The 16,761-nt window shown below is 51.5% G+C and overlaps 6 annotated features.

Moving 5' to 3' along the window:
* Nucleotides 6,209-6,741: an enhancer, noted in NCBI's record as "H3K27ac-H3K4me1 hESC enhancer chr5:170946153-170946685 (GRCh37/hg19 assembly coordinates)". NCBI's record gives its function as "activates a minimal SCP1, AML or CMV promoter by ChIP-STARR-seq in naive H9 embryonic stem cells {active_cell/tissue: H9 hESC(naive)}" and the evidence as "EXISTENCE:reporter gene assay evidence [ECO:0000049][PMID:30033119]".
* Nucleotides 6,742-7,275: an enhancer, noted in NCBI's record as "H3K27ac-H3K4me1 hESC enhancer chr5:170946686-170947219 (GRCh37/hg19 assembly coordinates)". NCBI's record gives its function as "activates a minimal SCP1, AML or CMV promoter by ChIP-STARR-seq in naive H9 embryonic stem cells {active_cell/tissue: H9 hESC(naive)}" and the evidence as "EXISTENCE:reporter gene assay evidence [ECO:0000049][PMID:30033119]".
* Nucleotides 7,276-7,808: an enhancer, noted in NCBI's record as "H3K27ac-H3K4me1 hESC enhancer chr5:170947220-170947752 (GRCh37/hg19 assembly coordinates)". NCBI's record gives its function as "activates a minimal SCP1, AML or CMV promoter by ChIP-STARR-seq in naive H9 embryonic stem cells {active_cell/tissue: H9 hESC(naive)}" and the evidence as "EXISTENCE:reporter gene assay evidence [ECO:0000049][PMID:30033119]".
* Nucleotides 7,365-7,659: a silencer, noted in NCBI's record as "tiled region #286; K562 Repressive non-DNase unmatched - State 21:Repr". NCBI's record gives its function as "represses a minimal TATA promoter and a strong SV40 promoter by Sharpr-MPRA in K562 cells {active_cell/tissue: K562}" and the evidence as "EXISTENCE:reporter gene assay evidence [ECO:0000049][PMID:27701403]".
* Nucleotides 9,411-9,942: an enhancer, noted in NCBI's record as "H3K27ac-H3K4me1 hESC enhancer chr5:170949355-170949886 (GRCh37/hg19 assembly coordinates)". NCBI's record gives its function as "activates a minimal SCP1, AML or CMV promoter by ChIP-STARR-seq in primed H9 embryonic stem cells {active_cell/tissue: H9 hESC(primed)}" and the evidence as "EXISTENCE:reporter gene assay evidence [ECO:0000049][PMID:30033119]".
* Nucleotides 16,013-16,512: an enhancer, noted in NCBI's record as "H3K4me1 hESC enhancer chr5:170955957-170956456 (GRCh37/hg19 assembly coordinates)". NCBI's record gives its function as "activates a minimal SCP1, AML or CMV promoter by ChIP-STARR-seq in primed H9 embryonic stem cells {active_cell/tissue: H9 hESC(primed)}" and the evidence as "EXISTENCE:reporter gene assay evidence [ECO:0000049][PMID:30033119]".

Genomic DNA, 16,761 nt, shown 5'->3' on the forward strand with positions numbered 1-16,761 from the left:
AACACATTTGGACTCCTTGGTGGCAGCAACACTTTCTCCCTGAAAGATCAGAGACATGTACAAGGCCACACACACACACAGACACACACACACACACACGCACACGAGGTTTGTACAGGGGACCTTGGTGGGGAGGAAGTTTGTGGCATAGCTTAGGAGTCTGAGAAACGGGTTTGAATCCTGGTTCTGCCATTTTGGGGCTGTATGATTCTGGAGATGTCTCTCTCCTTTTCTGAGACTCAGTGCTCCTATCTGTGAAATGGGAATAATATGGCCCACCTCACAAGGCCTTTGTTAGGAAGAATTGAAATAATTATGGACACAGTGTCTGGTACATACCAGGTACTAAATAAATACCAATCCCATTTTCGCTGGAAGAAAAGCTTGTCTAGGAAAGAAAGACCCAAAATGTGTCACTTCGGTTTCCACCCAAGTATTTGGAGCCCTGGTGGGAGTAGTGAGAAGGAGTGGGATGTTGAGTAAGTTGATGGATTTATTTATTCACCAACTTATTTCTTTTTTAAAAAATCAGCTTAACTGAGGTATGATTCTATACCATAAATTGCATCCGCTTAAAATGAACAATTTGATGAGTTTGAACAGCTGCATGTGTCTACCCATGAAACCATTGCCACAATCAAGACACAGACCATTCCCAACTCCCCAAAGATTTTTTGTGCCCTTTCACAGTCCATCCCTCCCTCCAGTGCCATGCCCGGGTAACCACCCTGCTTTCTGTCACTATGGATTTGTTTGCATTTTCTGGAATTTTACATCAATGGAATCATATATTATAACATCTTCTGTGTCTGGCCCCTTTTTTACTTGGCTGAATCATTTGGGATTTATCCATGTTGTTGCATGCATGAGTAATCCATTCCTTTGTATTGCTAACTAGTATTCCGTGTACACAACTTTTTATTTCCCACTCATGTAGCTTTTAATTAATTTATTCACCCATTATTCAGCTACTTGCTTGTTCATGATTTACAATTGTGTTCATTTATTCATTCTTTCATTCATCCATTCCACAAATATTTACTGTGTGCCATCTCTGTGCCAGATATTGCTTTGGTATAGGACCATAGCATGCATACATACATATATATATATATATATATATATATATATATATATATATATCTTTATTAAAGGTGCTGGGGATAAGGCAGTAAACAAAGTAAAGAAGTTCCAGCATGGAAGGAGATTATATTCTATTAGATATAAGCAAGTAAATACATGACAAGTTGTGATAAATGACATGAAGTGAGAGAAAGCAGATTTGGGGGTGGATGATGTTTATGGAAGTGTGCTACTTTATATATAAAGTGGCGAGAGAGGGTGTCTTGGAGCAGCTCTGCTGATGAATGTACAGAAAGAGAAAGTGCAAAGATCTGGATGTAGGTAGGTGTTGAGGATCTTGATGTAGGTGGGTGTTGAGGATATTCAAAGAGCAGCAAGTCTGGAAGAGGTCTGCATCGAAGATATAAATTTGGGAGTAGTGGGTGTGCAAAGGGTATATTTAAAGAAGAAAGACTGATGAGATCCGTCTCCAAGGGAGTTGGTGTATGGACAAGTCCACATCTGAGGGCAGAGCCCTGAGGCCCTCCTACATTTATGGGGCAACAGGATGGAGAGCAACCAACCAGGCAGCTGGAAAAGAGTGGCCGGAGGGTAGGAGGTGAATAGGCAGAGTAGGGTCTGGGAGCTACGCATGAAGCAGGTTTCAAGAAGGAGGGAGGGGTCATCTGTGTCAAATGGATGCTGCTGGTAGATTGAGGAGGACGAGGGCTACAAACTGACCAGGGGAGCTGACGGCTAGAGGTCTTGGGGTTACAGAAACGTGGTAGTGATGGGAAGGGGGTAGTTGGAGTGGGTTCGAGACAATGGGAAGAGAGGAAGTGGAGAGAGTGAACACAGACTATTTTGAGGCGTTTGACTGCAAGGGGAGAAGGCAAGTGGGGTGATCGGGATGTGGGGGTAAAGGAGGTTTTAACATGGGAACTAGTTGCCATACTTTCATACTACTGAGATTGATTCAACATTTACTCAAGGTTTCTCTTTTCAAGAATGGTGCTTTTTATTCATTCTTATTTCTCATCCATTTCAATGCTTTTGTCCTTCCCCTTGCTGTTCAGAAACTGTTTTCTCTAGAGGGAGATCCATATTGAGTGGATCCCTAGGACTAGGCCAAAAAGGAGGAGGAACTGGGCAAGGGGAGACATCATTTTCATTTTTTTTTTTTGAGACCGAGTCTCGCTCTGTTGCCCAGGCTGGAGTGCAGTGGCGCGGTCTCAACTCACTGCAACCTCTGCCTCCTGGGTTCAAGCAATTCCCTTGCCTCAGCCTCCCGAGTAGCTGGGATTACAGGTGCCTGCCACCATGCCTGGCTAATTTTTGTGTTTTCAGTAGAGACGTGGTTTCACCATGTTGGCCAGGCTGGTCTTGAACTCCTGACCTTGTGATCTGCCTGCCTTGGCCTCCCAAAGTGCTGGGATCACAGGTGTGAGCCACCATGCCCGGGGAGACATTTTCACCTGTCTGGGTGGCCCACCCTCCCTCACCTCGGAAAGGGCTAGACAAAGGAGGCCTGAGTCCTCTTCAGCTCCTGGCTGATGGGGCAAAGCGTCATCTCAGCTTCTCCCTCTGCTGAGAGAGGCGAGGAGGCCCGAGAGAGGGGAAGGGGCCAGGCAGGAGTGGTGCCTGTCAGTGGTGACTTGGCCACTCCTGAATGAAGTGAGCCTGGCCCCTGCCCTGAGGTCCCCTCCCTGTCTGCTGGCCTCCAGCTGGCCCCTCCTCAGCCCCATTTCCACCAGCCTGTGGTCCTTGCGGACTGGGAGGGCTGGGACCAGCAGCCAGGAGCTTCTTTCTTTCCTTTGGAGGTTGCTTGGGAGGGCGAGTATGGAGTCTGACAGATGTGGGTATGAATCTGGTTCCACAACAATTCAAGGGAAGACTGGGGTGGCCAACTTGTCCCTCTTTTTCTGGGACTTTCTTAGGTTTAGCATGGAAAGTCTCACATCCTGGGAAACTCCTCAGTCCTAGGGAAACCGGATTGGGGGTCGCCCTAGAAAAACAGTGGATGAACCTGACAGAAGGCAAGGACTGTGACTTCTTCAGGCTTCTGCAAGGTGATCTGGCAGGGTGGGTGTGGGCCCAGGCAGCAGTCCTTGCTTCCCCACTGCCTAGCTGTGAGGCCTGGGTAACTGAACTTCTCTGCATCTCAGTGTCCCCATCCATAGAGTGGAGAAAATAACATCTCCTATCTTTCAGGGTTGTTGTGAAGATTATATATAAAGCATTGAAAACTGCCTGGTTCATAATAAGTACTCGATAGACATTAGCATTTAGCTATTATTTGTAACCTCAGTGCCCATAATAGGTACCTAGGTACTCAGCACATGTTTGTTTGTTTGATGAAACTGTGAATGACTGAGTGGCTCTGGTAAGAGGATATGTAAGATGTTAAGGTTAGCCCGAGGAAAGAGACACTGATTCTGTTCAGTGGGAATCAGAGGCAGCTCCATAGAGAGGCTAATAATCAGGCTAGGTGTTACAGGTTAAGTAGGAGTTTTCTAGTTAGAGCTGGGACAGGGACTAGCTCGTGCTTGAGAGGGAATAGGCAGAGAGGTATGAGAGTGAATAGGTGCATGGCTTCCCTCTCACCCCAAGCGCAATCTCAGCAACTCAGTTATCAAAGAAACCAACTCTCTCAGGGTTACTTTTCCTACACCCATGATTGTAAACACCTCTCAGCCCCCGTCCTGTCTATGTTTTCAATTCTGTATCCCAGCATCCAGCTTGGTGCCTAATACATAGCAGAGGCTAAGTAACTACTTGCGGCTCATCTGCTGTGTGCCTGCTGCTGTGCTATGTGCTTTCTTGTATTATCTTATTTTACTCTTTACTATCACCATCTTCCTTTTTTTTTTTTTTTTTTTGAGATGGATTCTCACTCCGTCACCAGGCTGGAGTGCAGTGGCGCCATCTCAGCTCACTGCAATTCTCCGCCTCCCGGGTCCAAGCGATTCTCCTGCCTCAGCCTCCTGAGTAGCTGGGACTACAGGCACGCACCACCATGCCCAGCTAATTTTTGTATTTTTGGTAGAGACGGAGTTTTTCCATGTTGGCCAGGATGGTCTCGATCTCCTGACCTCGCGATCCGCCCACCTAGGCCTCCCAAAGTGCTGGGATTACAGGTGTGAGCCACCGCCCCCAGCCACCATGTTCCATTTTAAAAATGAGAAAATTGAGGTACAAAATAAATGACTTACTCAAGCAAGCCCCAAGAGTCAGTAAGAGAAAGAGCTGGCATTTCATACCAGCAAGTCTGACTCCAGATTAAGCTTCTAACCATTCCCTTACATGTTTCTTTAGTTCTTGGCAAATGGTACCTCTGGCTACAGTTCCAAGAACAGGAGGAGGTTGGTTGAAGTCTCTAGGGCCTCCACGTCTTCTGGGGTGGGAGGTAACCCAGTAAAACTCGACTCAATAGATGGATCATGGGCTCCTGCCTCACGAGGTGAGGCCTCATCTGTGAGGTCAGGGCATAGACTGTGGAGCTCAGGTCTTGGCTCCATGCTTCCTAGTGGTGTGATGCTGGCCAAGTTACTGCTCCTCTCCAGCCTCAGTTTCCCTTCCTCTAAAAGGGCTTCGATGGGATTGTTGGCAGAATTGCATGAGTGACCTCATATCCTCATATAAAGCACTGAGCAGAGCCCAGCAAGAGGTGCGCTCTCAGTTTCTGTTAGCTGCTGTTAGAACTGACTTTCTCACTACAGGGTCTTGTGTGGCTTTCAGACTGTGGGGATACAGAGTGGCATAACACGTAGCCCTGCCTTGGAGGGGCTCTGGACACAGTGGGACAGGGCGACATAGAGAGTTTGGTAGGGGCGGCTGGGCTGGGACCTGCCTTTGGGAGTCATTGGCACACGGGCTTTATTTAAGTGCACAGGGGCGGGAGATCACACTTGGAGCAGGAGAGCAGAGAGGGGAGAAAAGTTGCTGAAGACCAAGCTCTGGGAAAGCAACAGGGATAGAGAAGGTGGCACCCCACATAGGATAACGAGCAGCCTCTCCGTCCTGGGCAAGCTGGGACCTTGGTCACCCTGGCTCCAAGGGAGACTGGAGGAGTAGCCAGAGGCAGGAGAAAACCGGGAAGGGGAGGAGAAGCTTTGAAGAAGGAGGGAGCGGTAACCTCCAATGCTGCTGGGAGGCCACGGATGCCGGAGCAGACATGCGGCCCCAGTTTTGGTGGCGAGGCTGTCATTGGCAGCCTCCTGGAGTATGCGGCTGCAAGTGTGACTGAAGTCAGTTGAAGAATGGAAGGGAGATGAGGAGAGATGAGGAGAGAGTGACAATTCTGAGAAATTTGCTTGAGAAGCGGAATGAAGTCCAGAACATTTTTCTTGTCTTAAGATGGGAGAGACTGGTACATTAAAAAATGCTGATGATGGCTAGTCGAGGTGACTCATGCCTGTAATTCTAGCACTTTGGGAGGCCAGGGTAGGTGGATCACTTGAGAACAGGAGTTCAAGACCAGCCTGGCCAACATAGTGAAACCCCATCTCTACTAAAAATACAAAAATTAGCTGGGTGTGGTGGCGGGTGCCTGTAGTCCCAGCTACTCAGGAGGCTAAGGTGGAGGATGACTTGAGCCCAGGAGGTGGAGGTTGCAATGAGCTCAGATCACACCATTGCACTTGAGCCTGGGTGGCAGAGAGAGACCCTGCCTCAGGAAAAAAAAAATGCTGAAAAAAAAGGCACCCTGCAGAGAACGAGGAAATGGAGATTCAGGAGAAAATGCATTGGTGAGAGCAAGATGGACGAAGAGATGGAGTCAGGAACCCAGGGCCGGGGATGGCGGCTGGGCCACCATCTCCATGGTGAGGGGAGACAAGGGGAGAGTCACGGGGCAGGGAGATGAGCTGGGGAGATCCGAGGACGCCCATCTGAAGGCCTCCATTTTCTTTATGAAGATCAAGACAAGACAAGACCACTTCCTGAGGGTCGGGAGGAGTTTGCTGAGGCTGAGGTTGAGGGTGGGTCGAGGAGAGGAAAGGAACGATGCGGCGGCCGTGGTGGAGAGAGGGAAAGGAAGCCGGCTGGGGCCCAGGGAGAGGCTGCCAGCGATGCGGATCACCCAGTGCGGGCCAGGGACTGGGAGCACAGAGGCCAGCTGCCCCTCAGGGTGAGTGTCTCTGGCCCAGCTCAGCTGTTCAGGCACAGGAGCAGGGGTGTGGGTTGGAGGGTCACCCAGGCTTGCAGCTCAGGCAGGTGGGGGTGGCGGAGGCAGAGAGGGCAGACAGGGATGACCGTGCTGGCCGTGGAATCTGGGCTGCAGCCATGGGGTGGAAACTCTCAGAGGCAGAGAGAGATGTGTTTGAGAACAGTCTGGGGACGGAGCGGGCAGTACAGGAGCTCCCGAGCCCCAGAGACAGAGAGAGGGCTGCCGGTGAAGAAGGTACTGATTGGGTCCTTGATGGTGGAAGTGGTGCAGTTTCTGTGATGACTAGTCCTGATGGCTGATTCGGGGTGGAGGAGGGGCACTGGTGACGAGGAAGTCCAAGACAGAGGGGCCAGGACATTGAGAGGGATGTCTGTGAGGGTGTCAAAGCGACCCAGGGCAATGGCAAGAGATGCAGTTGGGGGGCTCCTCAGGGAGTGAAGAGTGCCCAAGAGGCTGTGGACAAGTGAGGGGGGTGAGATGTTGCAAACAGCCTGTGTCCTGAGAGAGCAGGTGTTTTTGGGAAGGTGTGGGCAGCATAGGCCAGAAAGTGGCCATGGAAGCAAGGGGACACCGCCTCTGTCTCCTGTCCTGAGGTGAGAGAGGAAAGCCAGCCTTCTCTTGGGAGGGAGGGGAGGAAATGATGTCCCCAAGGCAGAGGGGGCTCCCCAAGGCCATGGAAGGGAGGAGCTGGGAAGAGGAGGAAGCTGTGTGCGAGGCAGTGTGCTGTTTGTGGGGCTGGGGTTCTTCAGGGTCCTGGGAGAAGGTTCTGGAAGGAGGGAAGGCTGGAAGCTGGGCCAGGGGAGAGACTGTGCAGAAAGCATGAGGATAGGAGCTTGTAGAACTGTGTATGAGGGGATGGACCCCCTTACAGGGATGTGAGGCCTTGTCCTGTGTCCTTCCTGTGGACACTTGAGTCCAACAGGATTCAGCTGAAGCTGAGAAGTGTGAGAAGGACCTACGGGGTGGGGGGAAGGTGCTTATCTTGCTTCCCAAGGAGCAATGGAGGGGGCTTTTTGCCACCTCCTGGGGTGGGAGCCTCAGTCCTCGGGGCTGGGCCCCCTAAGGCCCGTCCCAGCTGGTCCTGGGAGGGTACCACCTCCTCCCCACCCTGTGACCCCTGGGTCAGGGGCCATCTCCTGGGGAGATGGGAGTTTGTGGCTGGCCTGAGCAGCTGCCTGGAGGGGAGGAGGCCCCTTCGATGACCAACCAGCTCTTTCACACCCCAAGGAAAAACAAGCCCATCTGCAAAAACCCAGAGGTGTGAGGTGGAGGCTTGGCAATCTGCGGCTGGGAGGGAGGAGCCTCCTGTCTTCCCGCTGAGACAGTGTGGGAAGGCCGGCCAGCCCAGCCTGGGATCCAGCTCCCTCCCTCCATGGGGCCTTGGGCAGGGCCTCCGGAGAGCAGTGTGGGGCTGGGAAGGACTCGGAAGCACCTGGAGGAGCAGGAAGCTCTGGGGACACTTTGCAACTCAGGCGGCTGGCAGAGAATGAGCACTGTGCAGCGAGTCGGGAGATCTCAGCCACCCACACCCCCAGACTCCTGCGTGCCCTGGGGCTGTTGAGGGGTCCCCACTTCAGGGTTCAGTTTCCCCTGCCATCCAACTGCTGGAGTCGGTGGCCTGGGATGCTCTTTCTGGCTGGTGAGGCTGTTGAGGTCCTCCCAATATGGGCAGAAGAACCCAAGCAGAGGGTCTGAGCGCCTGCCCGCTCTGGGCACCCGGAGCCGGCTCAAGTTCCATTCCTGAATATCAATGAGCAGGCCTAGGAATGTCTGCCCCACAGCTGGCTGCAGGCAGGCGGGCGGGGCGGGAAGGGAAGGGAGGAAATGGCCGGGCCTGGCCCTCCCAGACCCACCTGCCCCGCAACAGCAGGCAGAGCTTGCAGGCAGGCAGGGCAGCCTCTGCCCAGGGCAGAGGCAGATGGGAACAGACAAAGGCCCTTGAGATGTGGGGGAGGTATGAGGGAGGGCAATGGGGGGAGGGTGGGACAGACCTTTCCCAAGCTGCAGTCATGCCCCGTGCCTCTGTGCCATCGCACCTTTAAGTCTCCAGCAAGCTCCAGCATTCTGCACTGTCACTCCTGGAACTTGCCCACCTTCTCACTGTGGGAGGAGGCAGAACTAAGATTCAACCCCAGGCCTCTTCAGCTTGCAACCTGTGACATTTGTGTTATGTCACCCTAGGAGATAGGGAAAGCTGCAGATGTAGACAGCTTAGGGGCTGCTGGGCTGAGAGCTGCCTTTATTCATTTCTTCCTCTTGCAAGAAACAAGGCCTGTGCCAGCCTGGTGTCGGGTGCTGGGAATACATCTGTGAGCAGGCCAGGGAGGTTTTAGGAACTGGAGAGAAAAGAGTAACATTAATGCTCCCTTAATCATCCTCAGCCCCTAGTGAGTCATCTGAAAAAGCTGCTAAAGGGCTGCATTCCTCTGCAGTACAGAGGATTCACCCAAGTTAGTAAGAACATTTCAGAACAAATCACATCTCAGAACAGAGCTCGGTGATTGCAGGAGAGGTCAAGCCTTCAGAGAGTCAGGACATCAGGGACAGACCCTTAAATGTGCCAGGTGCTGGGATTGACCAGTGAGGGGATGGGTAACAAGATTATTTGACAAGGTTTCTTCTGCACGTAACTCACAGTCCAGGGCAGGAGACAACTCCATCACAAGGCCATGATGGAACAGAATGCTGGGATGGAGAAGTGGGAGGAGCCAGGTAGGAGGAAAGTTCAAGGGTGGGGCCTCCAAGGTGGCATTACAGGAGGAGTGAGAATTCTACAAGGGATAAAGCAGGAACGTGCCTCCAGGCAGAAAGGACAGATAGCATTTGCAAAGGTCTTGCAGTGGCTATAGCCCTGCTGGAAGGCCAACAGTGTAAAGCTAGGAGATGAACTGAAACGCAGAGAGGTGTGCTCTGAATACCAGGCTGAGAGTATGGACAACCAGTGTGACACTTTGCTTGACCGGATGAATATTCCACCCTCCTCCCTGGCCTAGAAAACCATTTTGGATGTGTGTTTGATTGGGTCTGATAAGCTGTCAGGGCTGCCGGTGAAGCTGGAGGCTGTCTCGAGGCTGATCAGCTTGCCCCTCCACAGGCACAAGGACTGTGTCTGGGCCCCAAGCACTCCGTCTGCAAAGAAGGAGCTATAAAAATGTACTCAAGGCAAAGGATCCCAGGGAGCTAGCACAAAATGGTGTTTGAGGCTCTTTCCATGCAGATCAAGCTCAACCCCAGGAACCAAGGCTGACTGACCTTGACAAGTCCCTTCCCCTCTCTGTGCCTCCATTTCCCTGCGGTCTCAGGTTACTCTCCAACATTCTCATTCAGATGACTCAAGGAGAGGTAGAATTGGGTGACCACTTAGAAGGTGGCTGGAGAACTCACTGGATTAGCCATGATCATCATTTCTGACCCCGGCCCCTCTATGGGGTGACGAGGATGGGAGACAGAATTGTGAGGGCTGCTTGCAATGGTTTCATTGTGGGGCCAGCTCCTGGGGAGTCTGTATTCCTTGAAGCTGGCGTCTGGGCATCCACGGGTTTTAGACCCTGGTCTAGGCCTCGGATGGTGAGTAGAGCCAGAATTGGGACCTTGGTTCTTTTTATTTTTTTGAGATAAGTTCTTGCTCTGTCGTCACCCAAGATAGTGTGCAGTGGCAGGATCGAAGCTCGCTGCAGCCTCAAACTCTCAAACTCCTGGGCTTAAGCGATCTTCCTGCCTCTGCCTCTGGAGTAGCTGGGACTATAGCTGCAAGTCCCTATGCCTGGCTAATTTTTTAAAAGATTATTTTGTAGAGACAAGATCTCGCTATGTTGCCCAGGCTGGCCTTGGACTCCTGGCCTCAAGCATTCCTCCTGCTTTGGCCTCTCAAAGTGTTAGGATTACAGATGTGAGCCACTGTGCTCAGTTGGGACTTTGGTTTTTGATATGGATCAAGATTCATATGTCAGCTCTGGATCTATTCATTCATTTATCCATCCAACCATTCATCCATCCATCCATCCATCCATCCATCCATCCATCCATCCATCCATTCATCTATGCAATGACTAATTGTTGAGCGCAGGTGCATGCTAGCTGTGTGGTCAATAGCGGATGTTGAAGGTGCATCAGAAAGCATGGTACACATGTTAATGGGATCTCACTTTAGCAGTGGGTCCATTCCATTCAGCACTTAAGGAACTCCCCTACTTCCTTTGTGTGCCCAGGGAGACCATTTCATTCCTGTGAGCCTCAGTGTTCTCACCTATACAATGAGATTTAATGATCCCCGTTTGTAATGCTGTTGTGAGTTTAATGAGATGATGGATGGAGGGCACCCAGCATGGCACAAGGACTTTGCATGGGAGCTGTCATCAGTGTTCCTTACAGCATCACACCCGAGCCTACAGCTCACATGGCACAGTGGTAGGACCAGCTGTGGGGAGTGGAAGAAGGAGGGCAATGGGGTTAGGCAGAGCTGGCTACACTTTGGCTGTGTGACAACAGGCCAGCCCCTCAACTTTTCAGAATCCACATTTGTATATCAGCGATAATAATTCCTCTTTTGCGGGGAGGAGGCATACACTGGAAGCTGGCCTCCTTCCTTCCCTTCTCCGAGGGGGTGGGTTGGGGACATCATGACCCCCAAGGGCTGTCAATGGGAGATGCAAGAGACATGTCCAGTGGGCCTGGGGGCCCTTTCGTTCATCTACATGTCATTGGGAAAGTCTTATGCAAGGTGCTTGGGATTGATGATTGACATGACAGATGGGAAACCTGCTCTCATGGAGCCCTGTGCCTGGGATGGCAGAGGAGTGAAGACCAGATGCACGGAGCGGTTTGTGATAGCTGCTCTGCGGGAGAGCGCCAGGAGCTGGGATCACAGGTCAGGAGGGGCTGCTGGAGATGGGGAATCCAGGGAGCGTCTTGAAGGAGGTGGCTTTTGAGTTCTGAGCTGAAGTGCCAGGAGTCAGCTGTTTGAAAGGTGGGCAGAGGTGGGCAGGGCACAGCAAGTGCAAAGGCTCTGGGATGGCAAAGGCTTTGAGAGCCTGAGAAAGCAGAGGCCATGCTTTCAGGGACTTTCACGTGTGATGGGAAGCATGTAAGAGATTCTCTCGGGGAGTCAGGCAGGGGCCAGAGCAGACAGACAGCCTCATTCATGTGGGTGCTGACGACTCCCTTTTCGCAGTCGAGGAAACTGAGGGCTCAGAAGAGTTAAACCACCTGCCCAAGGGCAAGTTGGCAAGAGATGAAGCTCAGGTGGGCCTCCCATGTCAGATCCTGTCGGGAGGCCAGGGGCAAAGCCCCCAGGTGCTCTAAGGTCCCCCTATCCTCGTGAGGGGTGAGAACAGGAGAGGCCCAGCCTGGGAGAGAGAACACTGTGTTTGTGAGAGAGAGTCAGAAGAGGCAGCAGCCTAAACGCACGGCAGACCCCGGCCAGCCCTGGCTGCCAGCACAACTGCTTGTGCGGCTGCCAAGCAGCCAGATGCCGCTTCTGGAAAAAATATCTTCCTGGCTTGGCACTCTCTGGCCGGCCGGCCTGCCATGCAACGGGAGGAGGGGGCTGCCGAGTGTGGGCCGCTGTTTAGCACCCCAGAACGGCGCTGCTGTGCCTTTGAAGCCAGGCAGGAACAGGGAAGGGAGGGGGCAGGGAGGATGCAAGCAAAATATTTTCGCTAAAAATATTCTGGTCCAGGAGAAGATCTTTTTTTCTTTTTTTCCCCTACTCTTGCTGGAAAACCAAAGTCTTATTAAAACAACACCAGAATATTTCATGTTGATATCAATTAGGCGAAGGAGAAGGAATCTTGAATTTTCCTCCCTGCCAGTTTCACATAAAAGGAATATTCTCCCAGAGGCCAAAGGATGAAGGTTTTTAGTTTTTTCCCTTTCTGCAAAAAATTCCTGCAATGTGGACGGAAAGTTCCTCATGTCTGAGAGCTTCCTGAGAAGTTGGGGCTCTGGAGCTTGAAGCCAAGTTCTCCCCCTAAGCCTGGAGGGGCAGGGCAGGTGGCTGGCTCTTTCACAAGGCCCTCTGAACCTGTCAGGGAGGGACGTGGCCAGGCCCACTCTGCGTGAGGCTGGCCCATCCTGTGTACTCTAGAAGGCCTCAAGCCAGCTGGGCCGCTTAGCCAATGGCCAGAGATCAGCAGATATAGACAGAGCATTTGGCCTCTGCCTCTGGCACCCCTCATCAAAGCTTCTTAGGCAGCGTCAAGACAGGAGTTGCTTTGAGGTGTCTGGCTGAGGCCCCTGTCTCTGGTAGAGTCCTTTCCTAGCCATGATGGCAGCACCATTGCCTCACACTTACTATGTGCCAGGCACTTACAAATATATGTTAATATCTCATCTACTCCTCACAACGACCACAAGAAAAAAGGATTATATGATTCCCCCATGCCCCTGAGAAAACCAGGGCTTAGAGTCACACAACTAGAAACCTGCACTGACAAGATTTGAACCCAGGCCCCTCAACCCTAAAGTCTGTGTTCTGTCTTCTATTCCAACCTGCCCCTCATATGACCCATTAGCTCAGAGTTTGGTCTCCTGTGGAGAATTTGGTAAGTAAGGGAAGCTTTTCTGTCCTGGCTATCATCTTAACCCTCCAGCTCTAAATCAGAGCTCCTAAAAACCACCCCTTCGGCAATGTTTTCTCTCCCTTTTCTCCTTTGCTAAGCTTTCAGAATGTCCCTTAAACATTATTTATTTATTTATTTATTTATTGAACCATTCATTTATCCATCCATCTGTCCATCTGTCCATCCATCCATTCATCCACCCACCCACCTACCCATCCATCCACCCATCCATCCATCCATCCATCCACCCATCCATCCATCCATCTATCCATTCTTCTACCTACATCCACCTATCCATTCATCCATCCACTCATCCATTCACCCACCCATCCCATGTTTACTAACTGCCAGGCATCAGAGGTGTAGAAATGACTAGAACACAGCTCCTGCTGAGGCCTCATTCAGGTTCATCAAATATTGGAGGTGGAATGTAATATTAGAAAGTGTCTAATGCCACCCCCTCAGATGTAATCTAGGTGGGAGGAAGTATCTTATTTTACAGGTGAGGAAACTGCAGGCCAGGAAAAGCAATGAGACTTGCTGGGAAGTTGTGCTTTGTAATTGAAAGATTGAGAATCCTGAAGCTCAAACAGACTTCTAGGTCCAGTTTGCTTCCTTCCTAGCTGAGGGACTTGTGCAAGTCACTGAAACTCTGTAAAGGAAGGAGAGAGACATGAGGTCAAAGAGGGCTCAAGGCCATGTACGGCTTTGTAGGCCATTGTGAAGAGCTCTGGCATCTACTCTGAGTAAAAACGGTGCTATCACAGGGCTTTGAGCAGAGAAGACATGATCCAACTGTGGTTTTAAAATGATTACTCCGGAGGCTGGGAGCAGTGGCTCACACCTGTAATCCCAGCACTTTGGGAGGCCGAGGCGGGTGGATCACCTGAGGTCAGGAGTTCGAGATCAGCCTGACCAACATGGTAAAACCCCCTTTCTATTAAAAATGCAAAAATTAGTTGAGTGTGGTTGTGCCCACCTGTAATCCCAGCTACTTGGGAGGCTGAGGCAGGAGAATCACTTGAACCCAGGAAGTGGATGTTGCAGTGAGCCGAGATGGCGCCACTACACTCCAGCCTGGGCAACAGAGCAAGACTCTGCCTGAAAAACAAACAAACAAACAAAACAAAATGATCACTCCAGGTCTTGTGTAGAAAATAGCCCGTCAGGAGGTAAGTGTCCAAGCAGGATGATGACCCATTAGGAAGCTATTGCAACCATCCAGGCAAGAGATAATGTCGGTTTGGACCAGGGTAATAGTAGTGGAGGTGGCAAGAACCATCAGTATTCCATGTGAGGTGAAGGAGGAAGAGAGACATCAAGGATGATTTTGTTTTTATGCCTGCACAACTGGAAAGATTGCCATCACCTGAGAGGGAAGGCTGTGGGTGGAGGTGGTTTTGTTGGGGGGAACAAATATGAGAAGCTCCTTTTGGATATGTTGAGCCTAAGGCACCCATTAGATCTTTAAGCAGTGACACCATGAAGACAGCTCAATATCCAGTCTGGGGTCAGGAGCAGGTCTGGGCTGGAGGCATCAATCTGGTATAGGAATGGCGTCTACAACCTTCAGACTGGATGAGATCACAAAGTGAGCGAGTGTAGACAGCGAAGAGAAGAGGTCCAAGGACTGAGCCCAGGACCTTCCATCACTTAGAGATTTTCCTAATATATACTGAGCCCTCAGGGTACAGATAGAAGAAAACGTGGTTGTTGCCTTCACAGAGTGTGTGTTTTAAAAAGGGCAGTACGTGGAAGGAACCAGCAAGTTCACCAGGCCAACAAGCTGTAGAAAGGGGTCAGCCCCACGACTGTGGGAGCCCAGGGTGGCATCTCATCCAGCCCAGGGAACCCATTAACGTGGCCTGTTACAGTTCCACTCTGACAGATGTTGTCCTACCTGGGGCTCCCAGTGGCTGCTAGCAACCCCTGAACCTACTCTGTTCCATAGAATGGGGAAGAGAGGACTCACTTGGCCCAAACTCGGAATTTGGGAGCTCATCTCATTCTCTCCGTAGCCCTGTCAGATCAATACTGTTAACATCCTCATTTTAGAGATGAGAAAACTGAGGCTAGAAGTGGGAAGCCACTGGTCTCCCGCCTGACTTTAAAGATCATGCACTCAACATGGGAAAAAAGAGGGTGCAAAAGGTTGCTGAGAAAGGGAACTCAGAATCTTTTTTTTTTTTTTTTTTGAGATGGAGTTTTGCTCTTGTCACCCAGACTTGCCACCCAGTGGCGCCATCTTGGCTCACTGCAACCTCTGCCTCCCAGGTTCAAGAGATGCTCCTGCCTCAGCCTCCCAAGTAGCTGGGACTACAGGCATCTGCCGCCACACCGGGTTAATTTTTGTATTTTTAGTAGAGATGGGGTTTCATCATGTTGGTTAGGCTGGTCTCAAACTCCTGACCTAGGTGATCTGCCTGCCTTGGCCTCCGAAAGTTCTGGGATTACAGGCGTGAGTCACTGCACCTGGGCCAGAATCTTTACTTTAGGGTATAGGGTTGTCTCCTGGGAGGGAGCTCCTGGGCCTGTCAGTCAAAGTCAATGCCTTCCGAGACCAGGCAGGGGACATCAGTGAGGCACGTGGGCTGCGGAGCAGAGTGTACAGCTTCATCTAAGGGAAAGCCACTCCTCAGCCCGGCCAATTGTGGCCCTACGGAAATGTGGGCCTAGGGTTGACAGATCTGGTTTCTAAAGAGAAGCCGGAAACCTGGATTTTTATGTGAAATTTCCCACTTTTTAGAACAGTGTCAGGTCCAAACAAAACACATGTGCTTGCTGAGTTGACCTCATGGCCACCAGCTCCAGACTTTGGCCTTTTGGATGGTGTTTAAAAGCAAGCAAGGATCACACATGCCGGGTTCAAATCCTGCATCCCTCCCAACTGGCTGTGTGTTCTTGGGCAAGTGAGTTCACCTCCCTATCAGTCATCCTGTGCCTCAGAGCTATACAAGAACCACGGGGCACAGGGCCCCTCACAGATGCTGGATAAATGGTGGTGAGGAGGTGGTCTCTGTGTGTGTGTGTTGGGTGGGGGGGCTGTGGTGTGCACGGCTTTGGGTGGGTCGGAGATTTTTATTGCCTTCACATTCCTGTCCCGGCCTTTCCTCATGGCTCCTGAGAGCTATGGAGCCCATGTGTGGGATCGGTCACACGCCTGAACTCTAGGAGAGCCCTTCCCTCGCTCACCCTCTTCCAAGCCTTCCCCGAGGGCTCCTTACGGCTCTCCTGAGCAGCAAGACCTCCAGCCCGGAGCCTTCCTCGCCAGCCTGGCTCCCCACTCCTGCCACTCCTCTGCAGCACAGGAGAGCCGTGGGGACGTGTGGATTCCTGAGGGGATGTTTTCCACATTTCTGGAAACCCACTGCGGTTTGGTTTTCCGTGGTAAAGGGCTTGGCAGTGGCTCAGCCCAGTGGAACGGCTGGTGGCTGGGAAGGGCCCGAGTCAGAGGTATTCATTGAGCACCCACTGTGTACCAGGCCCCTGAGATTCACAGATGCTTAAAACAGTCCTGGGCCCTCCAAGAACTTCATTATCTCAGTATGAATTCAGACTTGAAATCCGAGAAGTTAAAAACATCTCAAAACCACGTCCTTGCCACTCAGGCCAGAAGCCTGCCTTCCTCTGGCTTCCTCCTCATCCCAGCAGACACTGGGTTCATCCTGCTGTATCCTCTAAATCTCTTGGGCCCGCTCATTTCTCTCCACCTCGTTGCCAAGGCTTTGGTGGATCGTCATCCTCCCTCCCCTAATGATGACAGCTGCCTCCGCCCTGGACTCCCTGCCTCCAGCCAACCCTCCTTCAATCCCTCCCCATGGCCCCTGAAAAGTCTTTCTAAAAGCCAAATCTGATCATGTAATGTCCATACCAAGAGCCCTCAGTGACCTCAAGGTAGAGTCTAAACTCCCCATATTGGCCCACAGACCTTGCAGGACCTGCCCTCTCCTTCCTGCCTTCAACAGCTTTATC

This window comes from Homo sapiens, chromosome 5, assembly GCF_000001405.40.
Source record: "Homo sapiens chromosome 5, GRCh38.p14 Primary Assembly".
Classification (NCBI taxonomy): Eukaryota; Metazoa; Chordata; class Mammalia; order Primates; family Hominidae; genus Homo; species Homo sapiens.